We start from the raw sequence: 20,244 nt of genomic DNA on the forward strand, positions 1-20,244 counted from the left end.
TCTCCAGTACTTGGACTACAGCAGCTGCTTTTCTTTGCACACTATTTTTTCCTAATTTCAAATACGTCTTCTGCATCCATCATTCTTCTCTAGCAGCTCCTTCTAAAGTCAACAATGATTTCCACATAAACTCAAATCTTTTCTTCATGCTTCTTTTCTCTGGAGGTACTTGGAGCAGAACATTTTTGGAGGCAAGGGGAGGGGAAAATTAACTTTTTCGTGTTTTTCTCATTTCTCAGAATTACTTGTCACTGGGAGTTTTCTGCATATATATTTGCAGGTAGAATAATTGTCTTGCTAACAAATTTAATTTGATGCCTTTAATAGATATTTACATTTGTTTTTCACTGCGTTAGCTTTGGGAAAGGATAAGCTACTGTAACAAAAGATGCTCATATACAGTGGTCTGAATAAGCTAGAACATTACTTCTCTCTTACTCAACAGTCTGGCCAGTCTGAGCTGGTGAAGCAGTTGTGCACCATGAGGTCATGCAGTCCTGTGTTCAGCCAACCCCTAGGGTGCTATCTTGCCTGAGTGGTCTATACTGGGTGATTACTTCATCTGCATTGCATCCTGCCAGAAGGGGAAAGAACCAAAGTCCAGGGCAAGCAGAAGGGGAAATGGATGGTCAGGACCATGAGAAACCTGTTCTGTAACACTATTTATATGAGAGTTTGATATTGTATCTTCTTTTTCTCTTAACCCTGTGACCAAGACATAATGCTTTTACAAGGGGAGAAACACGTTTAGAGACATTAACCAGTTTTGCCAAATTCACCCATGTAGTAGGTAAAACTTCTCACCTGAACCAAAATCTTCTAACTCAAAATTCCAGGGTGCTATTTTACCTATGAAAGAGGTTGCCTGTTTAAAATAATCAGCAGCTGAACAAATTCTTTATTATTCACATCAAGTTGGTGTACCTAGAGCTTATTTAGGATGATGACCATCATACGCCTTTTCGATTATCTTCCAGCTCATTAATATTTTGTTTAGCTTTATCTATACTTGCTGTTAAACCCATATATTGAGTATTTTATTTCATTGATTGTTATTTTTCAGTTTTATTTGACTCTTTTTTTTTTTCAATTTGACTCATTTTTATAGATTCCAGTTCCCTGGTGTACTTCTTGTCATCTGTTTTTGAGTATCTTAATCACAGTTACTTTAAAGTCTGTCGAATAACTCCAATATCTAAGTCACCTATGAGTTTATTTCTATTGTCTGTTTCTTGGTATGCATGGGTAAATTTTAACTGAATGTTGGACAGTCTATGGGAAAAATTATAGGTACCCTGTACCTTCCTCTAGAGAGGATTCCAGAATGTATTTGGACAGGCAGCAGAGGGGAAGATCACCTCAGTGCAGCCAGCGAGGACAAAGTAGATTGAAGGCTAGTTTGCAGTTTTTTCTGTAAGACTCCAGCTTCTAGTTTCACCCGTATTCCAGGAAAGTCACTTTCCAGGAGTGCCCTGATGTTTCTTCTTTTGCGCTTGGATCTGCTTTTGCCACTGAATGCTTCAAAAATTAGCCTCTTGCCCTAAACAGCTTAATCAGTCAATTCTTCGACTGAATAGTCAGCACTAAGCGTCAGGCTTCTCTCTCCCTTTTTTCTGGGATCTTGGGCCCACAAATCTGACTGTCTTGGCAGCCACACTCTTCTTTTGTCTCCACAGTTCTGTGAGATTGCCTGATGCTCCGCTGCTATCCTTACATGCGGTCTTCTCTTTGGCTTCCTCAGGAAACAGCAATGCCTGGAATTCTTGGCTGCCTTGACAGCTCTCTGATACTTTATAACAGAGGCATGTTTGTGTGGGGTGTGTGTGTGTGTTTAAAAATCTATTTTTCTCATTGTTAATAGAAGCTGAGGTTTGCTATAAGCTACTTACAGCTGGAGGCAGAAGTCTGTATGTATTTGTTAAACAGTCATGTTGGTTAAGATGCTTGATTGAGGGATTCTGCCTCTTAAGAGATCTAACAGTGAGGATTGCATGATCTTTCAAAAAAATCCTTAAAAAAGACAATGGTTTTTATTCGTCATTTATTTTGTTTTTAAAAAAGCCCCAAAGAAAGAGTATCCTCTGCCCCAAGTTAACTGCCTATGAATAATAGTTCACATTGCTTAGGATTTTGAACTTTCCAGAATGTTTTTACCTATAATATTCACCCCACAAATATATGTTGTATGACTTTTGTATCATTTTTAAAAGACATTTATATTTTTTTGAGATAGGGTCTTGCTCTGCTACCCAGGCGGGAGTTTGGTGGTGTGACCACGGCTCACTGCAGCCTCCATTTCCTGGGCTGAGTGGTCCTCCTGCCTTGGTCTCCCAAAGGCTAAGGCACCCTGCCGATATATACTTGTTCTATAGATGATGAAACCAAGAAACATACTAAGTAAATGGCTTAAAATCACAATCTAATTATAGGCAGGAATAACTAAAATCAGGCTTCCCAACTCCTAGCCCTTTCCAATACATTAAAGTGACCTCGATTCATCTGTGTATACATTATGGACCTGTAGTCACACTCCTAAGTTTAACTTTCCAATATTGCTTTATCTTAACTCTGTAACTTTCTATCAGGGATCTTTCCAGTGGCATGGGAAATGTGTATGTCCTCTGAGAGGCACACATACATGCACTTGGGCAGGTGCACAGATGGATCTATGTTCGGAGCCTGCCCATTCAGTCTGAATAAAAAGGAATCATGGTAGTTTGATTTCTGGGTGCAGAGCAATGCTACAGACATTCTAGTATGGTTGTTGGAGTCTAAAGACAGTGTTCCCATGCAGATAGGTGACATGAAAAATATGTAGCGTTCATTTCCTAGAATGTCATAGCCACGGAGTCTTAGAATAACTCTTGGCATCCAAGTTAAAAGCTGGATCACTTCCTCCAAATAGTCTTCACTCACTTCCGGGAGTGGGTTGTATTCACCTTTAGCTCTGTTCACGAGACACTCGTGGGATATTCCTAGCCTTCTGCCCCCTTAGTTACGGGCATTGCCGTCTCACTGCTGTATAACCAGAGGCGTGGGAGCTGCAGCTGTCAGAATCCTAATCCCTTCTGCCTGGACTCGTTACCAGTGGTAGCGAGTGTGTATAGTAGTAAACTGTGCTGCGATGCTAGCCTTTCAGTCACTACCAGAGGTCCCAGCAGCAAAAACAAAAATTGTGGATGATACATTTTAACCTTCTAGAAACTCAGCTAACTCCTTTAGGTATGTCCAGGCTTTCCATTTAAATATCAGCCTTAAGGCAGACATGTCTTTCTTTAATGGAAGAGATCTAAATTGGGAGCAAAACATGTGACCACTTTTGCTATCGTTTTAGCTGTGTAGCCTCAATGACATAATTTAACCTTGGTTTTCCTGATTTGCAAACTGTAGGGAAAATAATGTCTTCTAACTTGCTGAAGTATGCTGTAAAAGAAAATGTGGTGGCTGTAAAATGTGCTTTGGGATTCTCGGAAGAAAGGAGTGCTATATTAATTCATGGTACTGCAATTGTTATTTTACCCCAGATTGAGAAGTAAAATATCAAATCGTTATTTTCTAAAGTTTGAATAACTGTTAAATTTATTCAGATAATCTGCTCTATTCAAGAGGCATAAATAGTTTCTTCAGTTTTAAATATATCGGCTGTGATGGTATGGACTCCTTAAGGTAGACGCTGCTCAAAAGATTATCTGGCAATGAGGCTGTTTGACATTGCATAGGTGCTAATGATGCATTGATGGTAACAAGTGAACTTTCAATGTTTTAATCGCCTCTTAAATTTTAGGATTGCAGTCTTACTAGTCAATATGAAGATGATGCCTTTCTTTGTTACAACTGAGGTAGTCTCTGGTGAAGAATATGTTTTCTTTCTGTAGTAGCTTTTTAAAATTTCTGACTCAGAAGCTTTTGTTCTGATTTTAATTTGTTCTAGATAGTGTTTAGATGGTCTTTCTTAAGTCACGCTTCGTTAATATATGATATTTTAATATAATTTTGTCTGCTGTATTTGAAGTTAAGCTTTATTAAGAAACTATAAAAGCACTCCATACATATTTTGAATTATTACCATTTGATATTTTAATGTATTATCTATCTAGTTTTCAAGAAATAATGAAGAAAACATCAATATATCACCTACCATCATTTCATTACTTGATGGATTCAGAAGCTCAAGAAGGTAAGTCATTTTATGTTTATGTAGCTTACCAATTCTAAGAAGACAAATAACTAATAGAATATAAAGTGTCACCTTTGTAGTATTCATTAATGTCTTAAATGGAGCTGACACTTTTATCAATGGCATATTATGTCTTGGTTTATATTTGTGAGCCTGCAAACATCTTGAATCATGTTTAAGTCTATTACTATACCATGATCTTGATGATATGTTAAAGATACTTTTGACAGATTAAATTAAATATATAGACTTACTAAGCATGTACAGGGTTTTTGATCTTCAAATAAGGAATACATTTTTTTCTCAAGTGCTGTACACTAAATGTATGATGTGATTTCTAAGCAAATTTTATTTCAGATAAGAAGCTTGCAAGAAAGATAAAAATAGTTTTATGTGAAAACTATAAGTTTTTACTGGTGGTTGGATGAAAGGTGAATTTAGGCTATACAGACATCTGTAGCCTGAGTTTATGGTTCCTCTAACTATTTATTAGAGGCAAATACATAATGTAATTTGACCTCTGGATGTAAAGAGATTAAGTTTGAATTCTACTATCAGTGTGGTTATTTGAAATTGAACCATCATTTTTATATAGTCTTAAGTATCAAGCGTGACTTTGCATGGGTTATGTAATATAACTGTCCCCATTGTCTTGAGATCAAAAGTACAGACATACACTCTTGACAGACTAGAAAAATTACCATATTTTTGTAGAGCAGTTGTAATACAAATCTAAATATCTTGATTTCTTTTGTTCTCTCCTTATCTGCACACACTGTAGATGTTTTCTGAACACTATAGTTCTGGTTTTTCTGTTTTTGGCCATTCCAGGTGGCTTCTACCTAGGAGAACACATCTTTAGGCCAAGAAAGCTGGGTGTATGCCCAGTGTTGGCAGCCTACCTGGCTTAAACACAAATAGTTTTACCAAGCGATTCTTGCAAACCTAACCATTTAAGTCGATCACTTAGAGAACCCAGCCATTTAGATGATTTGAATGAAGACGCAATTTCTGTATGGTTTATGAATAAAATTATATCATTATCATTACCATTAGTAACAATTCTTGGTTTCAACTGTGTAGAAGATAATTTGGCAAATTACAAAGGAAGTGGAAGAAGTTCAAGGTAAGGTTGAGACGGAACTAGCATTACAATGTTTTACAACACAAACAAACACACTCTGTAATCATCTATATAGCCAAATGAAGCTTTAAAAATGTGTTCACACACACAGAGCTAAGGGAATTAAGGATGTGCCCTTGGAGCAGATCAGGTGGCATTTAGTTGGAAAGCCATCACCAAGTAGAGGAACACTCAGTTCTCAAGTACTGAAGGATACTGACTTTTCCTGCCCTCTTTTATACTTAGAATCCTGTGCTTGGAAAGGATGGAGCAAACCCATAGCTCAGTGCTCATATTTCAACACTGGCATGAAGATCCAAGAACTATAGGATGTCACTTATTTATACACAGATTAAAATTAGGGCTATGGTGGGTGCTAAAAAATTCTTCTGTATGTGTTTCTAAGGCTATATTGTAATCTAAGGTGTCTAAAACCTTACCCACATTAACTATTCTAAATATCCTATGTTGCCTGCCTCATGCCAGCAGCCTCTCTCCAGCTGTTAGTACACGTAGCAATCTGTTATAGAATAGTAGGGTCACCGGAGGACCTGCAGCCTTGGGGCAGATTCATCCTTGCCCAAGGCTCAGTGATTCTGGCTCTCAATGACCCTCGAGTCTGTCACGTCAGCTGCTTACTTGACATCCTACTTACTACCTCTTGTCAGTTTAGGGCCTTCAAGACATAGATGCCAAAATGGGGCTAAGCATGTAAGGGATTTACTGGGGGAAATGTTTGTGGAGGATAAGGAAGAAAACAGAAGTAGGCTAGGGGAGCCTTCAGAGCCCAACATGGGTCCAGTGCCCGTGAGAGGAGACAGAAGACAGATTGGATGGGAAGAGTCTCCAATTGCAACACAATTCTGAGACAGTCTCAGGTGGGCTGATGAAAATCCCTGAGCAGGAGTTGCCCACTAGAGGAGTGTCCTATATGGAACAGGAACTGGCTGGCTTGAGTAGGCAGCCTCAGGAGGAACATGGTCTCCCAGGAGCCACAGGTGCAGCAATGGGCAGTGTTGGGCAACTCTGCTCCTTGTGGCAGGTTCTCTTAATCTGAGTGGCACACCAGGGTAATATGTATTTAAAATAATTTTCCTTTACAGGTTTGCCCTTCCACCTATATTTTCGATCTCACTCAATGGCAACATCACTCCCCAGGCTACCCAGAAACCTGGAATCATCCTGATTTTCTCCCTTTCCTTCACACCCTTCATCATTACATCTCATTGATTTTACATTCCTGATATGTTTCCCTACGCCTTGTTCCATTTCCACCATCACTTACCTTGATTCTTCATTATCTCTGCTCCTGACTGCTGTTAACCACCTTCTAATTGGCTGTCTCGCTCTGGGCCAACTCCCTTTCTTTACCCTCTCTAGTTCTTTTCCCACACTGTAACCTGCACTGCATGATCTTTTAAAAATCCAAATCTTGTCACATTTGTCTTCTGCTTGAAATTCTTCAGTGCCTCATTATTTCTTACAGGATAAAATCAAGGCTTCTTAGTATGGTGTAATGTGTTTTACCTTGTGCTACTATCCTCATTTATCCTATATTCTGGTTCTCAGGGTTTCCAAAATTGGTCAGGAGACTTTTTGCCAGTGGGCTTTTGCACATGTCATTTCCTGTATATGGCAGGTCTTCCCTTCTCCTATTTGACAAACTCATAATTAGGAAGGCTCAGATAATTCTTTCCTGAGCTCTCTGAGAGGTGGAACTTTCCATTTTTGCATTGCCTACTGAAGTCTCTGTTATAGCACTTTTACTGAACCTCTCTTATATAGCACTTGGTCTGCCTTCTAATTCATAGTGCCCAGGTACTTAATAAGTGAGTGAATGAATGAATGAATGAATTAGCTATAACATAACCGTATTGGCTGACTTAAATTTGCTCATGAGTGATGATCTTGTATTTCTGATCATAAGTCAGTTGACTCCCTTCAGGACCTAATATAATGTTCTCCTCAAGGCATCACATTAAAAATTTTCAGGAGCATCTTCATAAATCTTTGCAGAATTGGATTAATGGGTAATATGGTTTTTATAAACAGTATTGCATTAATATATATGGAAATTTATGTAATTCTACCACTGTTTTAAGAAACCTATCAAACTACAGTCTGAGGCAATATATTTAATATACTAGTTGGAGTACTATAGCACATATAATTACTAAAGTGAGAATAATTTATTAACACATTTTAAACATTTTACAAGTAACATGAATAATTATCTTCCAGATAAGACTAATAAATTTTCTACATGTTGAATAAAAATAACTCTTGAATATACCAGTCTACTTCAGATGTCTTCAAAACTCAGATTTGAACGTCAAGTTTGAATGTCAATTGTCCACCCCTAGGGGAGGCATACCACCACTTTGAAAGCACACACGTTCATACTTGGCTCCTTGACCCAAGGCCTTCATTTAGACTCTTGTCATTTTTCATCTAGACTGTTCCAATAATCTTCTAATTAGCTTGTAAGGTCACCAGTTCTTCAGCTCCTGCTGTCAGATGTAGTTCTTAAATATCAAATCTGATCATGTCAATTCCTGTTCTAATAATCTTTATTAGCTCCTCCTCACCTTATAGAACAAAGGTCAATGTTGCACATAAATTTAATCCCAACCTACTTCTTCAGGCTTATTTTCTATAGTTCCCCTCCATGCACCTTGTGTAATATTCATTATAATCCCTAAAGACACAATCCAAAATGCCATGATCCTGAATGTTGAAATCCCCAAAGAACAAATGCCCTTACAGCTAATTGAATTCCCAAACCATAATGATAGATTTGGAATTAGGTGCCATCAAAACTTCTAAAGGTGGATTTCAAGGTGTTAGCAACAGTTTCTTTTTCCATTCAGCCCAATACATTTGCCGGAAAATTCAGATGAATGGATTGCCTGTAGAATATAGTAACATGGAAAACTTCAGTTTATAACGCATTATTTGTCTGCATTGGCATTCCTTCTAGCTGATGAAATTCTAGGAGGTCTTAATGAGTTAAAGCTGAATTTGCCTGATGAAGCCAGCAAAGTTACTGACTCTAAAATAACTATGTGCATGGTAGGATAAGAAAGCACACAATGATGTTGCTGTTCGATCACCAGTATTGTTTCAGCCAAATCTGTGGTCTGTATATGAGTGCATGAGCAAAGGATTTCCATGTACCCAAAACAACACAGAAGCATGACACAGAGATAGGAAATTTAATAGAAAATGCTCATGTCAGTGTGTATTGAATAAAACTAGAATTTCAAAAAGAGCAGCATCATGTAGAAAATCAATGTGAATGTATTCTTCAAGAAGAGCCATGTCCTAAAAGAAAAGAAACAGTTACTCATCTCCACGCAAGACTTCAGAATACAGTTAATGATTGTGGAAGTCGGCCAGCTCTTATGGGCTACCTCCGTGCAGTTGCCCATAATTTATCCCTGTAATGCGCTTTTTCATATGTTGAATTTTCTTTTTAGTTTCTTTGGGAAGGTTTTGTTTTTCTTTTTCCTTTTTTAAAGTTTTTTTCCTCACCATTTTAAATCATCAGCATTATTTTTTACAACTCACTATGGTATGCTACGTGTTTCATCTTTACATTTCCAAAACTAGAGGCATAAATTGTATGAGCTTTTAGAGAGTTCTAATTTGTTTTATGCACTTTTTGTTTTTTGCAAAATTGACTCCATGGAAGTGCATTTTAATAACACTGACCTTGTGTGTAAGCATTGTGCATATATATGTAAAAACCTTAAAACTTCCTCAATAAATAAAGGGATATCCTTTTTCTGCATCTGCATTTGTGAAAGATAACATTTTTCAATATCTCAGCTCTTTAGGCAACTGTATATGACTGTATATGTGGTGGTGACCCATTGTTGGTATTTAATTTTAATTTTTTTAGCAAGGGGCGTCTCACTATGTTGCCCAGGCTGGGCTCTAACGATCCTTCCACCTCAGCTTCCTGAGTAGCGGGGACTACAGGCGTGAGCCACTGCATTCAGCTCCACTGTAGGTTTGGATCTGTTTCATCAGAAGACTTAGGTTGTTCATCAGGATATTTCAAGTGACCAAACTATATAAGTGATTTCTTTATGAATACAATTTCTCTGCTCATAACTGTTATGCCTGTGTAACTGTGGGTAGCACACCTGAGTGCTTATCATTGCAAAATTATGTATATACAATTTTATTGTATAAAGTAGCCCACAAAGTGTTCTGTTGTGTTTTTATGTTTCTAAACTCTTTTAAAAATGTAAATATGTTTTAAAGAACTTTTAGAATTATTTTTATCAGAATTATGTATTTGGGGTTTTGATCTTTCAGGATTCAACACTGGGGATTATGGCATCAGAAACTATCTTTTGGGATTCTGGCCCAAACCTCTAGCCTTGTACCCTCGCTCCATAGATCTTCTAACAGCTCCTGGGCTTAAATATCTCCTCTTTTATGATGCTTCTCCTGATTCAACCAACCAGTGGTGCTTCCCATAGCATTTTAGAAAGACCTGTTTTATAGCATTTATCAAGGTATTGACATTTGTTCAGTTGTCTGCCCCTTCCGTGATCTCAGTAGCAAACTTGTAGTACAACTAATTTAGGTTCTTTATTTTTCCACTTGCATCCTGAGCAACCTCAATAAAAGGTGCATTTTCTTTCTTTTGTAAACACAAAGTGTAGCATTGTTTGGTCTACTTGATTAGAGTTACAACCTCTGTACATTCTTGAAACTAAGAAGACCAGCAGACAGAGAATATCTGTAGAATCTTCTCAGGAATTGGTTTCAACATAAGGGTCCAAGACCTTGGCATTGCTGAGGTTTTCAGAATTCTATCTTTTAAGTTAAGCCTGTGACTATTTACTAATCTGAAAATATCTTTAACTTCTTTTTTTTAATCTGTAGGCATTTCTAAGAAGCACATGACATTCAGCTTTGAATAGAAGATTCATTTGAATGACAGTTTCTTTCATTTAGTAGAGGGGATTTTACTTTAAATTTTGCTGACAGGTTTTCGTGACAGCCCTCAAATGGAAGCTTGAATTCACTTGTCACAGCTGTTAAAGAGTTGTTGTTGTTGTTGTTTTTTGTTTTTGTTTTTTTTTTGTTTTTTTGGGTGGGGGATGCACTTCTGTTATCTGATCCTTCCACTTATTATTGCTATTATTGACCTTAAAAGTATAGAAGAGAAGAATATAGACAAAGCCTCTATTTTTGAAGGCTTGTTGTAATCCAGCATTGAAGTCAATTCACTGTTGAATTTTCCTCTTAAAATCGTCATCATAATGTGGCAGAATCTTGCTACTTTTCACTTTATACTTGAAATCCCTTTAATTCTGAGGAGAACAAGAGCACCTGGTAGATTTTATTTACTATCAGCAAAGAATGAATAGCAGGAAAATGGTGTTAAGACTTTTTTTGTATCAAAAGCATTAAAATAGATAAGCCCAAGATAGCAACGTAATTGTAATACTCTGTCTTGACAATGTTTTATTTACAATCTATTTTAATATTTGTGTTTTAATATTAAATTCACCAATAAAATAATGTTCTAAAACTATAGTAGATAGCTTTTATCTGAAGGTACAGTTATCAGAAGTTTGCTGCTTTTCATATAGGGAAGCCGATGTACAGAATCTTGTGTAATATTATCTGGTTTTTGTTATTTGTCCTGGGGGCTAAGTGCTAGATAATGAGGAAAGAATATATGTGGAAAAATTATTCTTCAGAAATGTATATTAAAATTCCATTGTATGGCAATGCTATTAATTTTTGTAGGAATTGCTCTTCAAATCTTAAAAACCAGACTATCTACTAATTCACCAATCTTCTCAATATTCGACTCATATTCAACAACTAAATAAGCATGCAGTTTAAGGGGCATGTTCTTTGTAAATTATTTGGAGCATAGATTTTTTCCTTTTTGTTACAACAAGGCTGCTGTAGGCATGCCTTTATAATAGGGCAGCTCTTTCCATTAGATTCTTGTTTAGAGATTCTTATTATCAACCTTGAAATGGGTGGTGTTATTGTTGGAGCTTAATATTAAACATGTCTTGATTTACATAAATAATTACCATTAAAACTATCACCTCAAGGCCAGGCGCAGTGGCTCACATCTGTAATCCCAGCACTTTGGGAGGCTGAGGTGGGTGAATCAGTTGAGCTCAGGAGTTGGAGATCAGCCTGGGCAACATGGTGAAACCCCGTCTTTACTAAAAAAATACAAAAATTAGCCAGGCGTGGTGGCGCATGGCTGTAGACTCAGCCACTCAGGAGGCTGAGGCACGAGAATCGCTTGAACCCAGGAGGCGGAGGTTGCAGTGAGCCCGGATTGTGCCACTGCACTTCAGCCTGGGTGACAGAGCCAGACTCTGTCAAAACAAAACAAAACAAACAAAAAAAACAAAACCCTCAAAAAACAAAACAACAAAAAAACAAACTATTACCTCAAAATCTTTAAATAGAAGTTCACACTGGAAAACAGCAACCAATGTTTTAAGATGGAAATAATTGTCTGTTTATGTGTATATGTTTGCTTTTAAAATTTTACACTTTTAGACAAATTATTATTTTTTTCCGTGTCATAAAGAAATTTCATTTTAATCCTCATTCCTCTAAAATAATTTTTATGGTTTTATCAGCATGATACTTACAAAGAGCATATCCCCCTTTAGACAAATTATTTTAGGCAGCCAAGTTTAGTTTATTTGGGTTTCATGCTATAAATTATGCTAATTTATGAAGGTTATTTCTTGTTGGATGCTTGTAGTATTCATATAATATTTAAATGCAAAAGAGAATATTAATATAAAGCATTATCAATTAAATTTTATTCAACCTGATAATGTTTTCTGTGATACATGATCATCGTAGGTGTATAACTAATTTTGCATTACCATTTATGAGTGATATAGTTGTGTTCTTTTTAAAGTGTGTATGCAATTAGTAGTGGTTATATTCATTTCGTGAAATCTCTTTGAAGGTCCTTTGTTTTAGGAGTGTAAGTAATTTTCATTATAATATATTCATAAATTTTTAAATCTCATTTCCATATGAAGGTAAAGATGGGGTCATTCTTAGAATGAAATAACTCTATTCAGAAGGACGCAGTCAAAAGCTAGGAATTCATTTGTTATCCCTCTGTAGTTGTTAGGACAGGAGCACTAATCTGGCCAACTAACCTTTAAAAGAACATGCAAAGTCAAAGATGTCAGGTTGTACCAGTAAATATTCACCGGCAAACTTTTTATATCAAAGACTGGAACTTTCGAAGATGCTCCTGGGACTTAGTGTACTCTAACATCTATTAATCCCTGGTACCTTAGGTGACTTGTCATAGAAGTGCTACATTTACAAGTAGTATGCAAGGAGGCCCAAGAGGACAAATTCAGTTAAAGGTCAAGGAAGCAATTAACGTTCTCTACTTTTCCCTAAAGAACTTCCACAGCAAATGTTGCCCTCCCCCTGCATCCCCAATCTTACCAAGGCAAGTGCATATAGTGAAATGGAAGTTAAAGTTCAAATAAAACATGTTTCCAATATTATTTGGTTCTTAGAGCTCTTCCTGAATGTGAATGCACACTGTTGTTTAAGGTGAAGTACAGTGAAAAATATTAGAAGAGATGGCTCTCGCTGAAAAATACCAAATTTCTGTTTCTTTGTTTCCCCTGCATCTCTGTCAAGGGTCAACGTTTGCAGTAGTGGTAGAGGTGGGTGGTAGGCTGGGCCCTTCCTGTGGATGTGGTTAAATTGGAGTTCTTTTGAGGAGTACATGATTCTGTTTGTATTCTAAGCAGGACACACACACACACACAGACACACACACACATGCATGCACCCCAACCTTCTATTTTCTAGTCCTTCAAATTTTGAAAACTCTTGTGTTCACTCAGGTCTTTTCTTCTTTTTGTTGAACATGTTGAACTCCCCAAAACTGTCCTTATAAGGCCGAGTTTCAAGATTTCTCACCTCCCAGTTGCTACAGTTTCTCAGTGTCCCTCTAAAGTGGGCCTTCCCTAACTGGATGTACAAGTATAATCTGACTGGTGTAAAAGAAAGCCTCTACCTCCATGATTTTGGAAATTATATTTTTAATGTGGGCTAGGTGCACCGATTTTTTGATGATCATATTAAACTTTTGACTCATATTGAGCTTGTGGCCAAGTAAATGTATCTGTCTGTCCCCATCCCCTACACAGTGCTGCTAAACTCAGGCTGAATACAGACTTTAGACTTATCTTTATTAAATTTCACATTGTTAAGACCAATCCATTTTTACAACTGAAGACATTTTCCTTCACATTTAGTTTTCTGTTATACTTGTTGTCCCCATCCCATTTATATATTCTGAAAATTTTATAATACTTGTAATGTCATCAGTTAGTCGAACCATTGACAAAACTGTTCATCAAGGCAAAGCTGAGAACACACCATTTATTAGAAATGTCTATCCAGGTGGGCACCAAAGCCAAGAGCCTTGGGAGTACTGTGGAAAAGCACTTTCTTCCAATCCAACAATTCTTTATAGGTATGCCCTGAGATACCACATGTTTGTGTCTATGGATTTCCAATTTTTCCAAGGGCAGGGACCATGTCTATTTGGCTAGCTACTATACTCCATCACCCAGCACTGTGCCTGGGACACAGAACAGCTAGAATTGCGCTAGGACACCAATATGAAGAGGTGGGTTCTTATATTCCATCACCAATCTCTCTCTTATTCTATATGAACTGATTGGTGGCTCTTAAAATATATTGCTTTAAAAAAGTACATCAATTATTATTTGTTGTGTGTAGCATTGCAGAAGGGGATAATGGTGATTTGAACTCCCATGAAAATAAGAAAGATGTTGCCACCCTGATGAATGGAAATATTAGCTTACATTGAGAGTCATTTTCAAATAGTTTACCTTATTATTTCTCACCTAAAGTCACTGAATATTCAAAAGCTCCTTAGACTAAGCAGAAATGCTGTATTTCCATCAAGTTCTTTTCTCTTTTCATGGATTTACTTATACAACCATTACCTTTTTCTTTTCCTTTCAGACACCAGAGAAGCCTATGATGACAAGCAGGTGGTCACAGAGATCATGGCAAGATGTTTTATTCCAACTCTGATAACAACTACTTCCTGGGAAAGTTTTCATTTTATTGGTCATGAGATTCGAATTACTGAGGCCATGGATTGTTATGGTGCTGTTGTTTGGCCATCGGTATAATTTCATACAGAATTTGTTACATTCCAATTATTTTTCCAGCCGGTTTTATTCATTATTATGTTCTATTTGGAAGAAGAAAACAGGTTCCATATTCCTTCTTTGTGACCTCAAATAGTACTATGTTTTAGAAATCATGTGACTAGGAAATTATTTCTCCCAATTAATTCTGTAATTCTATTTCTTTTCTTTTCTTTTTTTTTGAGACAGAGTCTTGCTCTGTCACCCGGGCTGGAGTGCTGTGGCTTGATCTCAGCTCACTGCAACCTCTGCCTCCTGGGTTTAAATGATTCCCCTGCTGCAGCCTCCTGAGTAGCTGGGACTACAGGCATGCAACACCACACCAAGCTAATTTTTGTAATTTTGGTGGGAATGGGGTTTCAACCACGTTGGCCAGGCTGGTTTTGAACTCCTTGCCTCAAGTAATCCATCCACCTCCACCTCCCAAGGTGCTGGGATTACAGGCATAAGCTACCACGCTGGGCCTCAATTAATTCTATTTCTGACTTTATTGAAATTTGTAGGATTAATACAGGGTGTTGTTTACTTCTTCAGTTTTTAAAATAAGAGTTTAGAGCAGTAAACATTTTTATTTCCCCTTTTATCAGCTCCATTTGAGTTAAACAATTACATTGAAATCTATATGAGTCTCACATGTAGAATGTCCTCAAAGACCCTCAATCCTTTACCAACTGTCCCATGAAGAGTAATGGACCCACCACCCCACCTGCCCCAATCCCACACACCACTTGGAAATGACTAGTATTATCAGAAGTTGCTTCCTTTAAAAATGATCAAACCTAAGCAATTGAACTCCACATTTTTAGTTATTTCTCTTTTCCTCTCAATAATCCCCAAGGAATTTTTCTAGCAGAAATGTTGAACCTCTCAGAGGATGCACTTTTGTTCATATTTTTTGGAGTGATGTACAAGTACACACATGAGTACTCTCATGTACTCATATGAGCACGCATACATAGCATAACATTAGCAGCATATTTGTCCAATAAAGTTTAATTTTACTTTCTGTTATTACTTGCCAAGCGTCCCTTTTTTTTTTTTTTCTAACTTTCATAGGCCCTTGTTCTATGCTATTTCCTGGAAACAAATGCAAAGCAGTATAATATGGTTGACAAAAACGTGATTGAAATTGGAGCTGGAACAGGGCTAGTCTCCATTGTGGCAAGTTTACTTGGTAAGCAGATATTTTTGATTGAATAGAGGGAGTGTCAGAGAATTTAATGATCAAATATCATTAGTTGTTTTACTATCCAGTGTACTATGACCTGTGCCTATCTGTGACTCCTTAACTGTTTGAATGGGCTTCATCTAGAAACTACAGATTTTAAAGTCTCCTTACCAGTCTCTTTTATAGTTTTCTGCATTAAGTTGTGTTAATTCCGGTCTCTTTCATAGTTTTCTGCATTAAGTTGTGTTAATTCTTCTTGTGGAATACTGTCACAAGCCTCAGATGAAATGTTCTAAATAAGAGTTGCATGGAAGCATTCTGGTTGCAAGAGAAGAAATGTGAAATACCAGGCAGAGGCAGATTCTATTGCTGCTGATTCAGATGCACTTTAGATTTTAGCGCCATTTCAGTGTTCCCATGTAGCTGTAGATTCCTTTTGAGTTTTGAAGTGCTATGCTTTTATGAAAAAGCACGTATCAGAATAGGGAGATAATATTAGAAATCACACAAAAATCACACGTCTGCTTCTATTTTTAGGTGTTTGTCCTTGAATTTGTTTTCTCAGTTCATTCAATTCTTTTTTTTTTTTTTTTCTCTGTCGCCCAGGCTGGAGTGCAGTGGCGCGATCTCCGCTCACTGAAACCTCCGCCTCCTGGGTTCAAGTGGTTCTCCTGCCTCAGCCTCCCCGAGTAGCTGGGACTACAGATGCCCACCACCATGCCCAGCTAATTTTTTGTATTTTTAGTAGAGACAGGGTTTCGCCATGTTGGCCAGGCTGGTTTCGAACCCCTGAGCACAGGTGATCCGCCCGCCTGGGCCTCCCAAAGTGCTGGGATTACAGGCATGAGCCACTGCGCCTGGCCTATCTCCATTCTTTTTTATTGTGACCCTGAGTTCTCTCACCAGCATCTTTTCCAACTGAGCATGTGATAGTTTTTAACATTAAAAGAGCCTGTTTCAGTTCAGTCTTTTTGTTATTGTTATCTATCTCATTGCCTTAGTTTAGCTCTTTCTCTGATGTGTGCTACCCAGATCCATCCTGATTTCCTTGATCTTCAGAAATGTACACCTGCCACTTTGAGAGGAATTGAACATTTAGAAATTTACAACTTTCAAATACTAGAGATTTATAAGACTCTTGGAGTCTTCCCAAATAATATTTTTTAAAAGTTGCTGTGTCCTGATATTGTTTTCCAAAGTCACTATTCCATTTATTAAGGGTAAGTCAGAGTCACTATTCAATTTATACCTGAAAGCCTGACTTAGGAGCAGAATTTGTGCTTTGGGGAGTCATTTGTTTTATTAAAAAGAATTGGTCCCTTGAGTCCGCTTGCCTAACTTGAAACAAATATTAAAAGATAGAAACTTTGTTTAGTCAGTATTCTGAAAGTGGTAGTGTTTATCTCTCTAGGCACAAAGATATTAAGTATAAGGGAGAGTTTGCATTCAATATGGGCAAAGGTGTATTCCTTACTCTGAGATTTAAGAAAGATTTGTTGAAAATGATCGACCCACCCATAGTAGAATGTAAAGGCTTATATCTCTGTGAGTGTACCAATGATAGGCATATTCCCCTCCCATTTTAATATTTTCACAAAATACAGTTGATGCCAAGAGACTTGTGATATTGCAGCTGAGGAGTAGCTTCTGATTTGGTCTGAGCTGAGCTAGACTTCTCTTCCATTTCTGCTTTCTTGTTCTTCACCTGGTCTGTGCTTTTCTGATGCTGTAGAATTGGACAATCTTAGATTTATTTGCAGATTATTTTTAGCCTTTGCTTTACTGCTCAAAGTTTACTTTAGTGACCAAATTTCTACAAATTTGCTCCTGCCATATTTCTTCCTCAAAAACCCATCACTATTCACTTCTATCTTGGAAATTGTTTACATCTTCATCTATGAGTGGTAGCTTTATGAGCACTATACACACGTTGTGACTAGGTTTTTAGCATGTTTTGGTGGGAAGATTTATACTTGTGATGGGCCAAGTTGAAAACCTGGGCATAGCATGGATATCATAATACTTTTCAGTGAATGCCATTGAAAGGTCTTCTTGTCTTCTTTCTTCCCTCCACTTCTCACATGAGCACTTCTGTTCAACTATAGGATGTCTGATGTTACATACACTCATTTGGTCTCACATGACCGAGGCTCAGAATTCTTTTAGGGAGGTACCTATTCTTCCATCAATGACTTCTCATTGGTCCAATGAGGGTGCCAAATATTTTGACTTTCTCTTTCTCGTGCTTATTTTTCTCCTGGTATGTAGCAGATAAATAGCAAACAAAAACAATAGTAACAGCAAAACATACCAGAACAAAAACCAGGAGAACATAAAAAATGCAATGGTGCGCAAAAGTACCATGGGTCTCTCTCTCTCTCTTTTTTTTTTCTTTAAGCAGAGGCATATAGCTGCTTTGCATCCATTTGAATGGGATTCCCTTTCTGTGTAGAGGTACTGATGAGTCTTTTTTTAGGGGGGGATGAAGAATTGTGCAGAACTGCAAAGTGCATCCTGGCTTGAAACTTTTGATTGTTCTACCTTATCTCATGAGGGTTACTTTCTCTACTGTCCTTTGCTTCACAGGTGCTCACGTGACGGCCACAGATTTACCCGAATTACTTGGAAACCTGCAATATAATATTTCCCGAAACACCAAAATGAAAAGCAAGCATTTGCCTCAGGTTAAAGAACTCTCCTGGGGAGTAGCTTTAGATACAAACTTCCCCAGGTCTTCTAATAATTTTGACTATATTTTGGCAGCGGATGTGGTCTACGCTCATCCTTTCTTGGAAGAGCTCCTCATTACCTTTGACCATCTGTGCAAAGAAACCACCATCATCCTGTGGGCCATGAAATTCAGGTTGGAGAAGGAAAATAAATTTGTAGATAGATTTAAGGAGTTGTTTGACCTGGAGGAAATTTCCAGTTTCCCTAGCCTGAATATTAAGTTGTATAAAGCTGTGAAGAAAAACCGGAGGAGCGTATGACATCCTCGATGAGGATGTGGAAATGCTAAGGCAATTTTTAGCAAATAATCACTTTAAAGAAAACCCTGAATAACTTTATGTGCCACTGAGTTTCCCAAGGGGAAATACACACACAGATGCGCGCGCACACACACACACACACACACACACACACACACACACACACAAAACCCCCTACTACAAGAATAGAAGATAGTTTCCCAAATTTGCCTCACCCCAGGCAGTAATTTTTCCAGATACTGCATGTGAGTCTAGGATTGGGGTAACTTGTTCCTAGTTTGTCTCTATCAGCACCCAGGCCCTGGGCCTGCCTTCTACTCATGCGGTAATAGAAGCTCTTGGCAAAGTCACACTGCACTGTTGTTGTCTGTTCTCCTTTTTCCTTATATCATCATTTATTATTATTTTAATAATGGTGCAATTATTATTTTTAATGTATAATCACAAAATGATAGTTTTTAATAATATCTCTTCAGTGAAACTTGTTATTCTTTTAAACATAAGTGTAGATGATTCTCTCTTTAGAAATAATGAAATTGACTACAGTGGGATCTGCAAATAAATCTGAACAGACAGATACATAATGTAATGGTAAATTTCCGACTTGTGTGGTTTTCATTAGTGCCAGCTTATAGGTGGTCTGTCATCTCTGCCTGGCAGAGTAGACCTCTGATGTAACCTCCGATGAAATCAGTCAAGCTTGTGGATTTGAGGTCATGGATGAGGACATTTTATTCTGCTAAATGAAAAGTGAATGAATGCAAGCAAAAATTGTTGAGACATTGGAGAAGTTATTGTTTTGTTTTAAGCCAACTATCATTATTTTGTATCACAAAAACAGAAATAAATACAAATGCTTTGGGTTAAAAATACATATGAAAAGATATAGGCCTCTAATCTCAGATAATCAGACATATAGCTGGTTTTAAAGTTTAAAGCTCTTCTGATGAACATATATACATCTAGATACTTGAAATATTATGCGACTTTTTCACATATGCTTTCCTTAGAGACTAGAATAAAGTCTGTAGTAATTCAAGTCAGTGCAAAAAGAGCAAAGAATTAGGATTTTGTACTATGTAACTGCCTAGACGACACTGGTTGGCAATTACTCTGCTGTGTCCCCAGTAACATTTTTTAGGCTGTTGCTGTGCCCTCGGGGTGATACTTTCCTTCCTAGAATTAGTCCTTTCTGCTTTGCTGAAAGTTTTCTGTCTACTCCAGGTTGAGTATAGATGAAAAGAATATTTTCTAGGACTCTGATCAGTAAGTCAGGATACAAATATACTCCAGTGTATTTTATTTTATTTTTTTAGTACATGTGGTTCATGGGACCATCTCTCAGTAATTCCCAATATTTACATGGATCTTTGTCATTTTCACAGTCTGTTACTTACATAAAGTCATTTAATCCTCACAACCATTCTAAGAGGTAGAAGCTATGCTATCCCTGCTTCACGGATAAAGAAACTGAGGCTGAGATGTCCCCTGGCTACACATCTGCAGAGTGGCAGTGCTAGGACATTCAAGTCCAGGTCTGTATGAGCCCA

General features: G+C 37.4%; 1 pseudogene across 1 annotated transcript; it reads left to right on the top strand.

Moving 5' to 3' along the window:
- Positions 3,109-19,043, top strand: METTL21EP (methyltransferase like 21E, pseudogene; annotated as a pseudogene). The gene is made up of 4 exons (NR_026965.1): positions 3,109-3,222; positions 4,098-4,177; positions 14,346-15,710; positions 18,291-19,043. The product of NR_026965.1 is annotated as a methyltransferase like 21E, pseudogene (transcript).
- The last annotated feature ends 1,201 nt before the right edge of the window (positions 19,044-20,244 follow it).

Source organism: Homo sapiens, chromosome 13, assembly GCF_000001405.40.
Source record: "Homo sapiens chromosome 13, GRCh38.p14 Primary Assembly".
Lineage (NCBI taxonomy): Eukaryota > Metazoa > Chordata > Mammalia > Primates > Hominidae > Homo > Homo sapiens.